Here is a 19,430-nt window from a genome sequence, read left to right as displayed (position 1 = left end):
TGCATTCCTGGACAGCATTAACCCACCAAGTCCTGAATTGTAAATATTGGGATTTAAATAAGACTGACTTTGCTAGAATTTTCCAGTCATAGGGCACCAAACGTTTACCTTCTGCTAGGGCCTTTAATGTGGAATGAACAAACGGGGAGTTGGTGCCGTACTGCTTCACTGATGCTTTGAAATCTTTGAGGAATTTAAAAGAAAAACTTTCCCAAGTAGCAGGGCGTAGCCAAACCTGGCCTGGATGAATAGGATCTGGTTGGACTGCTGCCTGGATGTATACCTGGAACTGGCTGTGCCACAGCAGCAGGCAGTTGTGGGGGCTGATTATTTGCCTGAGGAGCCTGATTCTCGGGCTGAGGGACCTGATTCTCAGGCTGTAGATCTTGAGGAGCCGCGGGGTCAGCCTCCTGCTGAGCAGGGTCAGCGGGCTGTGGCTGATTTTGTGCTGCAGGGACGGCAGGTATAGGAGGTTGTAAAATTACAGGAAATTGCCAGGCCTCAGGAGCCCCATATTCTCTGGCCTGAGTGATGGCTCTCATAAGAGGAGTATCATCTTGAGGGATGTATGTAACTTGTTGCTTATGAGCGGCAGTAGTGACCAGACCAGAAGGAGAAACGAAGTTAGGATTTTGAACGGAGGAAGAATTGAGAACCTGTAAGCCAGGTTGAGGTGAGATTACCTGCTGGGCAGGTCCTTCAGGGGCCTGAGGTCCAGGCTGCAGTGGTAACTGCGGGACAGGCTTCAAGGGACCCTGAGGCTTCAAGGGAGCCTGATTTGCTGAAGGAGAAACAAAAGTGAGAGATGGATAATCAGGCTGCAGAGGGACAGGTTTGAGGGCCTCATTGCCAGGCCGAATAGATGGAAAGTTGAGGGCCCTGCAGCAGGGCTGAACAGGGACAGAGTTGAGAGCCTCATTACCGGGCTGAACAGGTGGAAGTTTGAGGGCCCTACAGCAGGGCTGAACAGGGACAGAATTGAGAGCCTCATTACCGGGCTCCATAGAAAGGTAGTTTAGAGCCATTTTCGGGCTGCGCAGATGGAAGGTCGGGGGCCCTACAGCAGGTCTGAGGAAAGACAGGAGGGTCCAGTTACAACAGCTGTTGAGAATGTATTTCGGTTGGATTTCTCTGGTTTGGGGAAATGAGATTATTTAAATCATGTAAAAGTTCATCATAAAGTGATAATGGGGGCGCGGTAGGCTCTGGTGTAGGTGGCAGGGTCAAAGGAATGTCAGAATGGAGGTTCATCTGTAAAATGACGGCCTCAATCTGTGCAGTTTCCTCAGGGGAAAGAGAACTGAGGACTTCCTCAACCTCCTCAGAGGACAGGAAACAGGGGTCAGTCTCCATGTTGTTCTCCTGAGTCTGCAAGGACTCTAGAACAGAGTGAACCAAAGCCCAGATTGACCAAATGGTGGGAGGAATATTTCCCCCTTTATGAGCAATTTTGAATTGTTGGCCAATCTCATCCCAATCTTTGAGTTCTAAAGTTCCGTCAGTAGGAAACCAAGGGCAGAGGAGATCTATGACCTCAAACACTGCAATTAACTTATCAGTAGAGACTTTTACACCTCCTTCTTTAAGGAGAGTTTTTATAAAGTTTAAATAAGCCGAGTACTTAGTACTGGCCTGTCCCATGGTGTCCGGGGATACTCTGAGTGCCCAAGCCTACCACCAAGCGTATTGACTGCAGTTCTCAGGAATCTGTCATTGATGCTCTCCACTGTGTTCCATGCTCGAAGCGCGCCTTCACATAATGAAAGAGAAATCCTCGTTGGGCGCCAGATGTAGTGTCCAGCCCTACAGGGCTTGTGGGTTTTCTCTTCATGTGCAGAGACAAGAGATTGTAGAAATAAAGACACAAGACAAAGAGATAGAAGAAAAAACAGCTGGGCCCGGGGGACAACTACCACCAAGATGCGGAGACTGGTAGTAGCCCTGAATGCTTGGCCATGCTGCTATTTATTGTATATATGGCAAGGGGGCAGGGCAAGAAGTGTGAGTCATCTCCAGTGATTGATAAGGTCACACGAGTCACGTGTCCACCATACAGGGGGCCTTTCCCTTTATGGCAGCCGAGGCAGAGAGAGAGAGGACAGCATACATCATACGTCATCATTTCTTCTAAGCACTTAACAGAAAGATCAAAGACTTTAATACTTTCACTAATTCTGCTACTGTTATCTAGAAGGAGGAGCCAGAGGTACAGAGCGGAACATGAAAGTGGACCAGGAGCGTGACTGCTGAAGCACAGCATCACTGGGAGACGTTCAAGCTTCTGAATGGCTGTGTGTGGGCCTGGCTAATGTCAGGACTCCCACAAGAAGTGGTGGAGCAGAGTGTTCTCTAATTCCTCCAGGGAAAAGGAGATTCCCTTTCCCGCTTAAGTAACAGGTGCCTTCCCAGGCACTGGCGTTACCACTAGACCAAGGAGTCCTCTAGTTGCGCTTATCTGGGCGTGACAGAGGGCTCACACTCTTACCTTCTGGTCACTTCTCATCGTGTCCCTTCAGCTCCTAACTCCGTATGGCCTGGTTATTCCTAGGTTATAATTCTAGAATAGGGATTATTATAATAACAGAACAAAGAGTAATTCTACAAACTAATGATTAATAATATTCATATATAATCATATCTATATTCTATTTCTAGTATAACTATTCTTATTCTTATTATTTTCTTTATTATACTGGAACAGCTTGTGCCTTCAGTCTCTTGCCTCGGCACCTGGGTGTCTTGCTGCCCACACCTTTCTATACCAAAGTGCTGTCATCGTTTCTTCTTTTTCTTTGGAGGAAAGATTGAATCTATATGCCCTGGAGAGAGAGAGAGACAGAGAGAGAGAGAGAGAGAGAGAGAGAGAGAGAGAGAGAGAGTGTGTGTGTGTGTATGTATCTGAGAGAGAGAGAGTGAAAGAACATATCATGTGTAAATTAACCTTTGAGAACTGACAGGACAGGGCTGGCTTTCCAGTTAATAAGAACACAGATACCTGCTTCCTTGGTGTGATTTCAGGGTTGGACCAAATGACCATTGCCCTTTAGAGATGCCTCCCTAATTCTCCTTAAGCACATTTCCCAGTGAGTGTGGGGGGAACAGCACTCTATCATGCTAATAGGTATTGAGCACCTAGTGGTAGTGGCAAAAGAAGTCAGGAGAATGTTGAGCTAGAAAAGCTCCATGAAAAGATCTTGGTTGCAGTGCTCTTTGGAGCTATTAGTAGATTAATGTGCACTGTGAATGTACTTGGCCATGTTTTCTAAGTTAGTTAATCAGGGAAACTGCGTGCTGTAGAGCGTGTCTCCACCTTCCAGACTCATATCCCGGAAGACACTTTGTGAAATGCCTTTTTTGGGGATGCTCTTTGGAAATGTCAGGCCACAGGAGACAGAGCATGGAGCAGGAGGGGGTGGGAGGTCCCACAGCACAGAGGTGTTGGTCCCTGTTGCAGCCTAACACCAGAGAGGAGGTAATAATTCGGTAGGGTTGCTTGCCCAGAAGCAGGGATGAATTTCCACCCTGAGACCACCAGCGAGTAACCAAGAGAGGAAAAGAGACACGGCATTGTTTATCACAAACTAAAACATAATTTAAAAACCAAAATCTGCCTTTTTCAAAGTGCTCCCTTCCTCCCTAAAATGAGAATATATTTATCTATCAGTTCTAAAGTCCCCTCCTCATCTCCGAAGGACAAGCCCCGGGGTCTTAAACCGCTTCTCTGCTGCAGCTCAGGCTAGTGGTAAAGCCATCTCACTGCAGTGCAGTGATACATTATCACAAGAGTTTTTCCCTCCCTGGGGTTGAAGCCAAAGGCCAGTGCTTATTTCCAGAGCTGTCCTAGGGCCTGCGCCGTCTGCTGCCTGCAGCATTCCTCCCAGCAGATGGCCACTGGCATGAACAGCACAGACCATGGCATCTGCTGACATTTTTAGAATAAGGCCACTGTGCTGGCACTTACATGTGTCAGCATAGGCACCCTCAGCTGAAATTGTGGTGCTCAGGGGTTCAATTTATAGGACATGCCTAAGGTCAGTGCTGGAGCCCAGTGGTCTCTTGTGTGTTGTGTTCTTCTCTGACTTCAGGGCTCTTCACCACCCCACTGTATTTGGAGCAGCCCCCCGCAGGCCACTGGGCTACTGGGCAGTCTGTGTCCTTCCCATCTCCCAGCTGACCCAGGGAGCCTTGGCCCAGCCAACTTAATTGTTTCCTCCAAACCTAACTTGGCTTGGCAAGAGCAGAGGGGACCCAGGGGAGGCTAGGATGGAAGATTGTGAGGAGAGTCCCTTAGTGCTTGACACCAGAGAGGGTGGTAATGAAGATGGATACAGACACGAGGGTGTGTCCACTGCAGGACCACTGCCTCACATGGATTTTTAAGTGGTTATTTGGAGTAAGGTTCAGTATGTGCGGTGGTGTGTGCGTTTTGTGTGTGTGTGCTTGCGTGGTGTGTGTGTATGGCATAGTATGTGTATGCGCAGTGTATGTATGTGTGTGGTGTGTGAAGGTGTATGTGGTATGTGTTTGGTATGTGTATATGTGTACTGTGTGGTGCATGCATGTTCTGTGTATTTGTGTGCATGTGTATGTATGTGTGCCCGTCTCTGCATATGTGTATGTATATGTGTGCATGTGGGTACAGGTGTATGTACATGCATGCACATGTGTGCACATGTGTGAATGCATGTGTACATTTGTGCATGTGCTTATGTGTGTGGATGCATGTGTTCATGTAAATGCATGCATTTGTGCCCATGCACATGTGTATGTACATGTGTGCATATACATGTATGCACTGACATATATGCATGTGTGCATATGTACACGTGTGCATGCCTTCTGTGCATGTGTGAATGCATGTGTGCATGTGGATGTATATGTGTGCATGTCTGCGCATGTGTGTAACCTCCTTAGAACAGGCAGAAATTGGGGCTCTGGAATCCTTTCTTTGCCTACCGCAGTTCCTTTTAGGCTGTCTTCATAGAGAAAGGGATAGCTCAAAACCCACAGCCCTGCTTTGGCCTGATGGGGGATTTCTGGGTCTCCTCAGTCTGTCTTTTATTAGGCAGGCCATGGGCTGTCAGGCCCTGGCTGGGTAGATGCTCTGCTCATGAATAAAAGATAGAGGCAGGGCAGGACAGGGCCCTCCCTGATGGGCCTCCCCGCCGTTCTGTGTGGTGGAATCTCACAGTCAACTTTGACCTGTGCACATCCACTTTTTTTTTTGAGATAGGATCTTGCTCTGTCACCCAGCTGGGAGTGCAGTGGTGCCATCACAGCTCATTTCAGCCTCGACCTCCCAGGCTCAAGCAATCTTCCTGCCCCAGCCTCCCAAGTAGCTGGGACTACAGGTGCATACCACCACACCCGGCTAATGTTTTGATTTCTGCAGAGCTAAAGTCTTACTATGTTGTCCAGGCTGGTCTCAAACTCTGGGCTCAAGAGATCCTCCTGCCTTGGGCTCCCAAACTGCTGGGATTACAGGCATGAGCCACTGCACCCGGCCAACACATTCACTTTTTTGGGACATGGCAGGGACTTAATGTTTTAGAAAACATTTAGCTACCCCTTTGACAATGCTGCTTGACACTATTTGACAGTGTGACTTACCACATCCTAATAACTTCCATGAAAATCATCACAAAGCAAATTTTAAATTTTTATTAAAAATCACAGTTTTTAAAAATGTCCAGTGACACAATGTAGCTCTTCTGAAATGAATGGAAAACACAACACACTGCTAACCAGTGGAGGGAGCTCTCTGCAGGGCTGGGAGACCTGACAATGCAGCTGTAGCCTCTGCAAGTGAAAATCCAGGCCGACTTGCAGTCATTGGACTGATGTCCAAGTGCAATCACCATACAGCAGCTACAGGCAGGGCTGGCTGATAGGGAGTATGGGAGAAGGACACGCTCAGATGAAAACATGCATGCAACGATTTTCACCACTGAACACACTGTTTTCTGTGATAGAAACTGTCGGCCCTGCTGGGGGACAAGATATTCACGGCCTCACTAGCCAGTGTGATGCCACCAGGGCAGCCTGCCCCTGATGCTCCTTTGTTACCTGCTAAAGAAGGACCATAAGGTAAAAGGCACCTTACCTTATGGAGTGAGCCCAGACCCCAGGGAAAAGCTTGGGTAGAACAATCCAAGGGGCAGCCTGGGTATGAGAATCCAGCCCAAGCTAGCTGCTCTAGAAGCCTGGAGGCCTTTCCCAGCTTCCCAAATGTAGCCCTTTTCACATGACCAATCCTTCAATTAGGTTACCTTTCTCTATTTGCCCTCCTTGGTGGCTACAGGGGAAAGGATAATTATTCCTGACCACAAGACACATTTTCACTAGAAAAGACTTCCTCGTGCTGGCCACAGTGGGAATTCTGCACACAGGTGCCTGCTCCACCAAGCAGAGAGGCTCAGGAGATTGTCCAGGGACAAGGAGACCTGGCCGGACCTCTGCAGGGAGGTGAGGCCCCTGCCCCCATCTTGTCCCATCACATTCTGGATGTTTGGCATCCCCAGGCTCCTGGGAGGGGAGAAGTGCTGATAAAAAGGCCAAAAATCACACAGAAAGAAGACAGAAAACTCCACGCACTTCCTACATAGGTGCTACCGTATTCCTACGAGCACGGGGCCTGTGTTGAAGACTCCCTCTGGAAGTTACAGAAGGAAGCCACCAAGAGTTCAGCCTCACAGCCTCTTTCTCAGATGCAGTCACCACTTTACCAAACTTGGCACATCCAACCACTCCTTTCATAATTTTACACCTGTTTGTGGCCTGGCTGACAGATATTTTGTCATTGATCTTTCTAATTTCAGGGATTCTAAATGTGTTTTGAGAATCTGCTCAGCACTCAGGGATTCTGTCTTTAAAAATATGATTAAACCACCAGATAGTGTGATTTCAGAAAGTGTGCGTGGCTACCAAAAACTTCTAAACACAAGTTATATGAGTGACTCCTGTCTTCTGTGGCTGAGCTTGGGTACTGATTGTCTTTCTCCATGCCTTGCATCCCCTGTTAGAGGAGGGCCTGCTGTCCATGGCTGTCCATGCACTTTAAAATGTCTCAGGTTTAGCTGAAGACCAGATGGGTCCAAGTTTATTTATATCTGCTGGCATAAGAATGATGGCTAAATTACCTCTTTAAGTTGTTTTTTTGTTTGTTTGTTTTGACAGAGTCTCGCTGTGATGCCCAAGCTGGAGTGCAGTGGCATGATCTTGGCTCACTGCGACCTCCGTTTCCTGGGTTCAAGCGATTCTCCTGCCTCAGCCTCCCGAGTAGCTGGGACTACAGACACATGCCACCATGCCCGGCTAATTTTTGTATTTTTAGTAGAGATGGGGTTTTACCATATTGGCCAGGCTAGTCTCAAACTCCTTACCTCAAGTGATCCACCCGCCTCGGCCTCCTAAAGTGCTGAGATGTCTCTTTAACTTTCAAGAGGTACAGCAAAACTGAAATCAATGGGTGATGACTTCTTAAAGATCAAACATGAAGATGAGGATTAGTTAAGACCAGAAAATCATTCTCCGATCTTGTATCTTCAACTCAAATTCACACTCCAAAAGGCCTGTTTGTGGTGAGGCTCAGGGTCTTTGGCTTGTTCTGAATTAATACTTTCTTTGGAAACTCTTTAGATGGCTTTGATCCCTGTGCTGCCCCCCATTGCAGACACAGAAAGCGACAGGGGATTCTGGCGGCACCCTCTCTGTGGAGGAGAGGAAGGTGTGGACCACGTTCAGAGGAAGGCAGCCTGAAGCTGTCCTCAGTGAGATGCTGGGGGATGGGCCTCTTGCCCCTGCTGTGCAGCCTCCATGCAGGGCTTTATTTACCAGTCACCAGGTCTTCAAGACAGTCTGCAGGAGAGAGGATTTCAGGGGGAAAGTAAGCCAAGCCAATTCATTCTCATGGTCCCCTTTTATCACAAACATGTAAGTCTTCCATCTCATAACAGAGACAGCAAAAGCAGTATCCAGGCCTTTTTTTTTTTTCTTTCTTTCTTTCCTTAACTGGCTACATGCTTAGAAACTGCACTGGTCAAACTTGATTTTCTTTTTAAAGCCTCAAAACATTTTTATTGTCAGGAAAGCTTTTCAGTGGCCAGGGATCAGTCTCATGGCCGTAGAAGCAGCCAAATTCCTCTGCCTTTGCCTTCCCTTCAGGAGTCACATGCTAAGGCATCCTTGGGCATTTGGAAAAGGCCGCTTGGGGTGAGAGTGCTCTAGGCCACTCTGCAATGTCCCTGGGCCCGATGAGTAACAAATGCACCCCGGGACCCAGAGAAGTGGAAAGACATGAAAGGGATTTGGAAACAGATCGTAAAAATAACCTGTATGAAAATCACACAGACAAGAAAACAAACAAATCCAGCTAGCCCCTTGGATCCTGCCATCCGTCTTTTCTCCCGGGACTGCCTTTGCTTTGTGGAGGGTGAGTCCTGGGACAGGCTTTGGGTGACAAGTTGTGGGCATGTTCCATCCAAGCCTGGCTCTCCCGACTGGCAGAGGGAGGTGGCTGACAATCAATTCCTCTGGATACATTTTCCTGTGATTGCTCCTGTGATCAAAGGCAGCCACCGACAGGTGCGGGAGCGGTTAGTTCACCACGTCATAGTAGTAATTGCGCAGCCGCAGTTCCACTGCTGCGAATCCGGGCCTGTTTTCCACACTGGAATGGAAGAGATGCATTCTTGTTTGTCAATGTGCTTGTGAAAAATTGCTGATCACAAGCAGGGCCTCTGCAGGCTGAGTACCAGTGGTGCTGCTCCCTGGTGGCTAACTCTAGGGCCTGCAGCTCACAGCGTGGTCCCTGTGCCCCCCACCCCAGGGTGACCACAAGGCTGTCAAAAATAGTGTCGGCCTACTGTAGACCTAAATAACCCATATCTGCACTTTAACAAGACCTCCCGGTGATTCATGTCCACCCTAAAGTAGGAGACTTTTTGCATTAGAACTGGGAGTGTTTTAGCCCCAGGTTCAGATATGCGGCACACAATATGCTTCTGTGCCACAGGCAACACGAAGAGGCTGTCACTCTGTGATTTTAGCAAAACAGGTGTCTGAAAATACTTGGCAAATGTTCTGCAGATATAGTCAACATCTGACTCATAATCTTGTTAAGAGAAGAAATACGAACATAACTTTAATTCTCCCTTTCCACGCTCTAATCGATGGCTCTGGATTTTCTGAAAATGGGCTGTTGATATGGGTTCTTAGGAAAGCTCAAAACATGTCATGGCAGGAGCAAAGACCCAGGGCTTGTCTATGATCCACCTTAATATAGCCAGTCCTTACTGCCACTGCTGGCCAGGGAGGCACTAATGTCAGTAAACTATGGGCAAAAGCATTAACAGTTCGCAGTCTCTAAACAAACACTTACAGACACTTCTGTTTTGTCTTACACAGACATCCTGTACAGATCAGTTGGAAGTAAGTACTAAAACCCTGATAATCGATCCTCACTTAGAAGTTATTTTTCTTATTTTGCAAGATTTCTGGATATATTGCAAGTGGGTGAAGTTGAAATACAATAAGTGAAAAAGTGAAACAGAATGTGAGGTTAAATTGTAGGAAACCGTCCACATTCAGCCATTTTGACCTATATCAATGGCAATTTCATATGATTCAATGTCGACACAAGAGAACAGCCATAGAACGCGCATCAGGACCAAGACTCACTCATCATTATAAGAGCAGAGTGGCTTCTACAAATCAAAATGGGTAGCTTTGTCAAATGGCATCAAAATACATGGTTTCTCTTATAGCTTTCAATAGTGAGCAAAATGATAAAACTGCTCGAATTGATCAGTGTGGTCAGCCATCTGTGGTCATGTCTGGGGACACGGGCCTCCCAGGGTGTCACTGAGAGGGGCTTTGTCTCTGGCCACCAAGTGTGTTCCGAGAGGGGATATGGTGGCCAAGCCTCTGGTACAGGAGCATGTGTCCACCCAGAGGGACAGCCTCTGTCTTGCTCCTAAACTTCTACAGTCAAAGAGAACACACTTCAGCATCTTTGCAAAACAGGGGGCTCTGCTCCAACTGTGGGGATCCAAATGGTACAAAGAGCACCTTTGGATCTTGCTCTGGGGGTTCATCTGCCCAGCAGCCAAGGAGCAAACAAATGCAGGGAAACAGGAATACAGACTCGTCCTCAGGAAAAACACCTGGTCAGGTCTCCTAGGAAATCTCTCCTGTACATCCATGGGAGATGCTGCCTCCAGGAAGCTGGGACACAGCTGTGCTTCAGCAGCAGGAGGGTGATGCAGTGCCCTTGCGTGCCCAGCTTCCTGGCCTGCCCTGGCCTGCCACTCTGCTTTCGGGCCAGAGTGCAGATTCTGCTCTGCTCCTTGTACCCAGTGACCCTCCTCCTCTCCCCTCATCCCTGCACTCAACCTTGCTTCTTAGCCTGCAGGTCTCAGCTGCAATCCCTAAAGGCGGCCTATCTGGAGCCCCTGCTGGAAGTGTGAGGCTTCCCTCCCCATAATTTTCTGTTCTCTTTTAAAGTTTCCAGTGTGTGATTTTATATAAAGAGATATATGGTCTTTATCCTGGGTTCCTGGCACAGAGCTCCTAAAACCCTTGGAATTTCCTGATTGTTGGGCTGAAAGCAGCATCTTTTGTTACTCATAATAAACCCCCTTCAACCATACCTGGGTTTGTGCTAATGAGACTATTTCTCTCCCTCCCTCCCTCCTTCTCTCCCTTCATCTACCTCCCTCCCGCTCTCTCTGTCTGTCTCTATATATCACCTTGGAGAGAGTGGCTGTTTACTACTGAGGAAAAAATGAAAAAACAAAGCAAAACAAAACAAAACAGAGAATATACTAGGACCACCTGTAGTCCCTTCATTGAATCCACCACATTCTAGAAGCTCCAATGTGCTTCTGTGCTGCAGGCAACTGTGAGAAACTACTTCGACACGAGAGGGCTTAAAAAACCCCATATATACACGTGATATCCTCCAGGCCCCTGTGCCCTCCTTGCTTAGAATTCCCACTGGAGTCATCCCTTTCCTAAGACACATCATAGGACACACTTATTTTTAGCTTATTGTTTATTGCCTGTCTGCCCCAGCCCCAACTATAAGGTCTGATAGGGACAGGGTCTGAGGCTTCTGTGAGGCTTGCACCTGGGGTGGCAGCCTGCATAGCAGGAGCTCCGGCAGTGGCCACCGACCCTGTGAATGACCCAGGGCTCTCAGAGGATGTGCCGCTCAGAGGAAAGCCTTGGAGCTGAGGTTGTGCAGGGAGCCAGGGGACATCTCACCAAGGTCCTGGGAATTCATGTTTTATCTTGGGCTTGTTGATCTTTAAACAGGAATTTGAGCCGCATCTAGAGCCTCCCTGACTCTCAGAGAACCTGGAGAGCCCAGGAAATTTCTCCATTCGGCAGAGGCCCCCACTGGAGGGCTGGGACTATTAGGAAACCGTTTTTCAGGATCAAGAGCACCAACTTCTCTCCATTTGCAAGGGCTTTCCCCACTGGTGTCTTTAATCACCCCAAGCATGACTTGGCTCTGGAAAACACTACAGTGGAAGGCTTCCTGACTGATTCCTGCTTTTCTTAGGGCCAGTGTTTCCTTCCTGGCTTTCACGCTGCCTCCTTGAGTGACCTGCACAGGGCAGGACTCTGATGTTGTGTTTCCTCTTTGGAAAGTGAGAGGGGGAAGGAGTGAAGCATGGGCCATCCCAAAATATGCCAGATTGGGATATTGATTATTTTGAGTTGAAAATATTGGATACATTGTAGTTTCGGATAGGACTAACTGACCTGTCTCTTCATGCCTGCAGCAAGCCATAAAGATTCCTCTGGGAAGGAGACCCTTCCTGTAGCAGGATGAGAAAATGCCCCTTATCATCAGAGACTGGGCATTGGAGCTGCAATGGGCCTGAGTAAACATATTTAACACAGTATCCCTTATCTTCCACTGGTTTTACACCCTCCTCATATCTCCTAGCGCCTTCTCTAGAAAATTTACTCCTTCTAGCCAGATTTTATTTGTCCTGTCATTTCTCCTTAAATGTATGGTTCTTTGTCTAAAGATTATAAAAGCATGTTGTTTTGGCCACTTCTTTAGACTTCACTGTCTTGTGAGGATCCCCATAAACATGTAAAACTAGTAAAATTGGTAAGCTTTTCTTTTGTTAATCTGGCCTGGTATCAATTTGGTTTCTAGGTCCAGCTGAAGAGTCCATTAAGACTAAAAAGGGGTTGGAGGTAATCTCTGGCTGTCTTACAAGGGTGAGGGATGCTGTCTGCCTTCTCAGGGCTTTGTCATTGAGGCTGGGAAGTCCCTTTGAATTCCCTCCAGGACCACACCCTGGAACTGATGACAATGCCTGCAGTGAGGGACCCCCTGCATCTTCTGGAGGGCCTCAAGCAATAGCCTGGGTTACCAGGACCAGCCCTTGGCGCTTCTGAGTTCTCCTTGTGGCCCTGCTCCAAGGAATCTTTTCCTTTTTTTTCATTCAACTGCACCTCATTGAATTTCTTATGTTTAGACAAAGTGATTCAGAGCTAGAAAGAAATTATTTAGGCAGATAGTGAGGGTAACAGAGTCCTCTGTAAGGTTTCCTTGCAATAAAAAGCAGCTCCTAAATCATGTCTTTTATAACAAAAAGCAGCCTGAAAAATCAAGCTGCAAGCATAGCTAAGCAAGCTAAAAGCTCACATAGGTAAATGCCGGCAGCTGTGTCAATAGAAAAGGGATCCCTGGAGCCAGGGATATTCAACATGGAGGTTCCCTCTTCCACTTTCCTTGTTGCCACGTGTGCAGTAAAAAAGCAGGCAACAAGGCTGAGGCGGGCGGATCATGAGGTCAGGAGATCGAGACCATCCTGACTAACACGGTGAAACCCCGTCTCCACTAAAAAATACAAAAAAATTAGCTGGGCGTGGTGGCGGGCGCCTGTAGTCCCAGCTACTCGGGAGGCTGAGGCAGGAGTATGGTGTGAACCCGGGAGACAGAGCTTGCAGTGAGCCCAGATCGCGCCACTGCACTCCAGCCTGGGCGACAGAGTGAGACTCCGTCTCAAAAAAAAAAAAAAAAAAAAAGCAGGCAACATGGCGTCGGCCAAGGAGAGACCTCATCTGCATAATAAAAGATTAGGGTGGGGCAGCCAGTTTCTTTTCGTGTTATGTAAATGGCCTGGCTGTCCAACCGATCTTTGGGCCCTATGTAATCAGACTCAAGCTCGTCTATAAAACCCTTGCATTTCCACACGGAGCCGGAAGAACCACTTGGGAGCCCTTGTCTCTCTGCAGGAAAGAGAGCTTTTCTCTTTTCTGTTGCCTATTAAACCTCTGCTCTTAAACTCACTTCTTGTGTGTCTGCATCTTTGATTTCCTTGGCGTGAGGCAACGAGCTCAGGTATTACCCCAGACAAACACAGCTGCTTCAAAAGTTTCAGAACATCTCCCCACCTCCCCCAACCCTGTTTGAGGTCACTACTAGAAACACTGTAACCTTCAGAAATATAGCTTTGTTGGGAAATAAATCAAAGTCTGATAAAGAGCTGTGATTTCTAATATGGGGCATGGGCCATTGTCATGATTTCCTTTTGACTGGGGCTTGTGCCCTGGAGCTGACTCCTCCAAGCCTGCAGAACTCACTGAAATGCACCCCTGCAGAGCGGACTGGGGTGGGAACCAAGGGGAAAGACATTGCCTGCCTGTGAACCTCACTCAGGTTCCATCTTAAATCTCCAGGCGGGAAAATACGTTTAGAAAGAATACTCTCTTAAGGAGACTGTTCTACTGCTCTACTTTGCTGTAATTCTGGTGAACATCCAGTGAATATCACGTAGACTGCTTTCCCTCCCCGGTCTGCCCCTGGTGGACCACTCTGGAAATAACTGCCCACTGTTACGTGCGTCCATGGAGGACAGAGGTCGGCCCAGCAGCCCCTATCCTGATTCCTTGAGTCACAAGAATACACCACGAGCCCAAAGGGTATTCAGCAGCCTCACTGCACCCACCTGGGAGCCAAGTGGGAGGTGGTGCCCCTGGCTGCGCACCCTGCTCTCTTCCCACCCACCTTTCACTCCTCACTGTTAAACACACACCACAAAGAAGAATCGACAGAAGTACATAGATCAGCATCAACGTTAAATGCAAAAACTCCCCCACTGCGAGTTCATTTTTAATTCAAAGTTTTTGCATTTGTATCACAATGTTTTAAACTCTACCCTCCTCACCCTTCTACAAGAAGGGAAGCCTTGCAAAGGGAGCTGCAGGCTGGACCAAAGAACACTTTCAGTAAAGGGTCATAGGCTGCCACGTGCCCAAGGGCTGCCCTCCCCAGGGTCCAGTGCTGCCAGTGCCTACCTGCCAATGGTTCTTACGATTCTAGTTTAGGCACTGGGAGAATTAAGCCAAGACTTAGGAATAAACATCCTCTTAGATCCATGAGTAGCACTTCCCTCTTGCTGACACTTAGCTCTCCCTGTTGCACTAACACTTGGGGTTGGAGAAGATGCTCCGGGGCCCAGGCCAGGCTCCTCTCCTGAGCCACGGCAGCAGCAGGGGCAGGGAAGCATATACCCACAGTTTGCCTGCTGCCTTTGTGGCTGCCCCCTGGGTGGTTTCTAGATACAGAATGAGATTATTTCCCTGTCACTCACAATTGTGGTAGAGTGATACTCCCAGGGTGGGGAGGGGAGGTCTCGGAATCCCAGGTGGCATCTGCAGCATTTGGAATAGCCCTCATCTTTCAGAGGCTCTGGCAATGTCAGCTGTATCTGAAGGCAAACCTGATTCCGCAAAGCATCAAATCCATGGCCAGGATTTGTGATGTCCTCCTGATCACAAACCACATCGATTCTCAGCTGTGTGGGCTCTGTGTGCACAGTTCAGTACCAGGGAACTGGAGATGGCGGCTTGGGGTCACCGTGCTATGCACGCACAAGCAGGCTGCTGAGCCTGGCAAAACTGTACTCCTAATTTTCAGTGGCAATGCATTTTCCTTCCTTGCTGAGCTGCCCTGAACATCACCTAAGAATAATGCCAGGTGTACTTTAAAAGCATAACAGCACCTGGGATCCACTAAGCGAGACGTATGACGGCAGTCAGGGTGGACTGAGGCCACCACTTCAAGGATGAGGTAGATTCTAGGGAAGTGCAACCTTAGCCAATGTATCTGTGAGCTGGCCAGAGTCCGAGGTCACCCCTCACTGCTCATGGTAATCAGGGAGTCAGGAAAGTATACCATCCCCTACCGAGTGCTTCTGCCATCCTCTATGCCAAAAATGGCATCCAGCCCCAAACTCTTACAAACACTTTTTTACTTTGACTGCCCTTGCCCCATCTCTCCACCATTATCGACATTTAAATTTGGACACTCGGGTTAGAGTCCCCATCTAAACTTGCTCTTTAGGCTCTACTACATGTAAGTGCATGGGCCAGAAAGCAAGGTCTCTAAAGCAAGACCAGCCCCCACCGTTGTTTGTTTAGAAAGCGGGCACATTCCTGATTCATGAAAAGGTGAACTTTATCCTTTTTTTTAGACGCCCAACCATTTCACCTGTTTCCAGAGCATCTGAATACATCACAGTCAGTGTCAGGTACTCACTCGTATGTCCAGCACAGATTCATGAGATCGTACATCTCTCTTGGACACCCTGCAGGGCACCCCATCCGCTCTCCTTTCTCTAACATAGCGGTGACTTCACTTCCTTTCATCCCCTACAACATGCAAGATATGCATAAGCTTTTTTTTTTTTAAAGGTGTTAGTCAAACAAAACAAAACAGCCACTCCAAGACATGAAGGAGTACACATTGTATGATTTCAATTATACGAAGTATAAAAACAGGAGCACTTAATCTGTGATGTTGGAGTCAGTTGGGTCACCCCTGGGGAAGGCTGTGTGTGCAGAGGAAACAGGCTTCTGGGGTTCTGTTCTTCATCTGGGGGCTGATTTCATGGGTATGTTTCATTTGTGGAAAACCACTGTACTGCATGCTAAGAGTTGTGCCCTTTTTGGTATATATGTTTTAATTAAAAGATCTAAAAAATGTAATTAAGATACTGTAAATAGTCATTATTTCTATTTCAACTCTAATGAGTAATGATCTGGGTTATATTTTGTGTATATTTACATGTGTTGACACACAATGGGAAAAACACACTCTTCAGTGAGCATCAGATATTTCATTCTCAGTTTGGAATAGACTGAGGGCACATTAACTGCTTACTGGTAAAAGATAATGAGAGACTCAGATTAGGATTTTCAGGTTGTTGTAAAGACAATCTGGTGCTTATCTGTTCTAATGGCCCCACAGTGAGAAAATGAAGCAGGACTGGCTCACTCGATATGGCTTCTGCCCATAGGAGAATGCTTCCCACATCAACACTCCAAAGCTCCAGACATCGCTTTTGCTGGAGAACTTGTAGTAGTTGATGCATTCCGGAGCGTACCACTTGACAGGCCACTTTCCATGGGTCTGGGCCTAAAAGCAAAGCAGAGGGAGAAATTCCATTAAGAATAAAATTGTGGGCCGGGCACATTGGTTCATGCCTGTAATCCCAGCACTTTGGGAGGCTGAGGAGAGCAGATCACTTGAGATCGGGAGCTTGAGACCAGCCTGGCCAAGAGGAAACCCCATCTCTATTAAAAATACAAAAATTAGCCAGGTGTGGTGGCGGGTGCCTGTAATTCCAGCTACTTGGGAGGCTGAGGCAGGAGAATTGCTTGAACCCAGAAGGCAGAGGTTGCAGTGATCTCAGATCACACCACTGCACTGCAGCCTGGGTGACACAACGAGAGACTCCATCTCAAAAAAAAAAAAAAAAGAAAGAAAGAAAAGCATAAAATTGTGTACATTCATGTTCATAGCAGCATTATTCCCAATAGCTAAAACATGAAAGCAACCCAAGTGTCCTTCAGCAGATGAGTGGATAAACAAAACACCCTCTATATAGACAATGGAATAGCATTCAGCCTTCAAAAGGAAGGGAATTCACTACAATATGCATGAGCCTAGAGGACATTATGCTGAGTGAAATTGAGACAGGAGAATAGGGCCTGGAGGCAGGGAACCTAAGGACTTCCTAGAACTAAATCAAATGGAAACACTTCAGCTATGACAGGAAATATCCTCTTCATTTACACAGGGTGTACACTCAGTAAATGACTTTGTAACATTACTTCATCCTCCTCATTTACATAGGGTGTACACCAAGTAAATAACTTTGTAACTTCACTTTAGCCTCTTCATTTACATAGGGTGTACCCTAAGTAACCAGTGAACACCTCTAGAGGTGTATATATATATATACACACCACATTTTCTTTATCCATTCATCCATCCATGGACAGTTAGGTTGATTCCACATCTTTGCTATTGTGAATAGTTCTATGATAAGCACGTTGAGTGTATGTGTCCCTTTGATACAAGTTTATTTGCCTCTGGATAAATACCCAATAGTAGACTTGCTGGATCATATGGTAATTCTATGTGTAGTTAGTTTTTTTTTCTTCTTTTTGTTTTTGAGATGGAGTCTCACTCTATCGCCCAGGCTGGAGTGTGCAGTAGTGTGATTTCAGCTCACTGCAAGCTCCGCCTCCTGGGTTCATGCCATTCTTCTGCCTCAGCCTCCCAGGTAGCTGGGATGACAGGCACCTGTCACCAGGCCTGGCCAATTTTTTGTATTTTTAGTAGAGACAGGGTTTCACCGTGTTAGCCAGGATGGTCTTGATCTCCTGACCTTGTGATCTGCCTGCCTCGGGCTTCCAAAACTGCTGGGATTACAGGTGTGAGCCACCGTGCCCAGCCTGTTTTTGTTTTGAGAAGTCTCTCTAATATTTTCCGTAGTGACTATACTAATTTACATTCCCACAAACAGTGTATAAGAGTTCCTTTTTTTCCTGCATCTGCAAAGCATTTTTTTAAAAAAAGTCTTTTTAATAACAGCCATTCTAGCCGGGGTAAGATGGTATCTCATTGTGTTTGTAATTTGCATTTCCCTGCTGTTTGGTGATATTGAGCATTTTTTCATATACCTGTTGGCCATTTGTATATCTTCTTTTGAGAAATGTCTATCTATGTTCTTAGCCCACTATTTAACAGGATTATTTGTATGTTTGGTTTACCAGTGAGTTTTATACTTTTGTGTGTTTTTATGATGGTAAATATTGTCCTTTTACTTCCACGTTTAAGATTCCTTTGAGTATTTCTTCTAGGATCAGTCTAGTGGTGATGAATTCCCTCAGTGTTTGCTTACCTGGGAAAGGCTTTATTTTTCTTTTATTTATGAAGAATAGTTTTGCTGGACATGGTCTCCTTGGGTGGCAGTATTTTTCTTTCAGCACTTTGAAAATGTCATCCCCTTCTCTCCTGGCCTGTAAGGTGTCTGCTGAGAAATCCACTGTTAGTCTAATGGTGGTTCCTTTATGGGTAATTAGAAGATTTTCTTTTGCTCTTTTTAGTATATTTGCTTTTGCTTTGACTTTAAGTGGTTTGATTATAACGTGCTGTGGAGAAGATGATTTTGCATTGTATCTGTTTGGGGACCTTTGGGCCTCCTGCATCTGGATGTCTAGGTTTGTTGTTATATTTGGGAAGTTTTGATCTAATATTTCATTAAATAGGATTTCTAATCTTTCATTCTCTCTTCACCCTTGGGGACACTGATGATTTGAATATTCAGTTGCTTTACACTGCCCCATATATCATGAAGGGTTTGCTCATTCTTTTTTATTCTTTTCTCTTTATTTTTGTCTGAATAGGTTGTTTCAAAAGACCTGTCTTCAAGTTCTGAGATTCTTTCTTTTGCCTGATCTAGTCTATTGGTGGAGTTTGGGATGTATTTTTTATTGCATTCAATGAATCTTTAGTTCCAGAATTTCTGTTTGGTTCTTTTAAAAATATCTATTTCTTTGATAAATTTCTCATTCATATCCTGAACTGTTTTTCTGAATTCTCTCTATTGTTTTTCAGAATTCTCTTATATCTTATTTAGCTTCTTTAAAATCAATATTTTGAATTGTTCATCTGGGGTTTTGTGAATTTCTTTTTGATTGGGATTTTTTTGCTGGAGAATTGTGTGTTCCTTTGGAGGTATCATATTTCCTTGCTTTTTCATGTTTCCTGTGTTCTTACATTGATATCTGCCCATGTGGTACAACAGTCATTTCTTCCAGTTTTTTGAAATTGCTTTTGTAGAGGAGGTCTTTTTCCTGAAAATATATATATGTTGTTGGGTATATATATGTTGGGTATATATATATATACACATATATGTGTGTATATATATACACATATGTGCATATGTATATATATGTATATATACACATATGTGCATATGTATATATATGTATATATGTATATATGTATATACACACATATGTGTGTATATGTATATACACACATATGTGTATATGTGTATGTACACATATGTGTATATGTGCATGTACACATGTGTATATGTGCA

At 46.1% G+C, this 19,430-nt stretch overlaps 1 protein-coding gene across 8 annotated transcripts in view; it reads right to left on the bottom strand.

Annotated features, from left to right (window-relative positions):
* The window catches only part of SYK (spleen associated tyrosine kinase), a 96,950-nt gene continuing 83,166 nt past the window's right edge, over nt 5,647-19,430 (bottom strand). For all 8 annotated transcript variants that reach the window (XM_011518946.4, NM_001174168.3, XM_047423809.1 and 5 more), the window contains 3 exons: nt 16,307-16,447; nt 15,569-15,681; nt 5,647-8,668 (listed from right to left, as the gene is read on the bottom strand). In XM_011518946.4, coding sequence (XP_011517248.1) covers nt 8,596-8,668; nt 15,569-15,681; nt 16,307-16,447 — 327 coding nt within the window. In that variant the 3' untranslated portion in view covers nt 5,647-8,595. The remainder of the gene's footprint in view (nt 8,669-15,568; nt 15,682-16,306; nt 16,448-19,430) is intronic.

This window comes from Homo sapiens, chromosome 9 (assembly GCF_000001405.40).
Source record: "Homo sapiens chromosome 9, GRCh38.p14 Primary Assembly".
In the NCBI taxonomy this organism is placed as follows: domain Eukaryota; kingdom Metazoa; phylum Chordata; class Mammalia; order Primates; family Hominidae; genus Homo; species Homo sapiens.
Note: the sequence above shows the minus strand (reverse complement) of the source record. Positions and strands in the feature narration are given on the sequence as shown.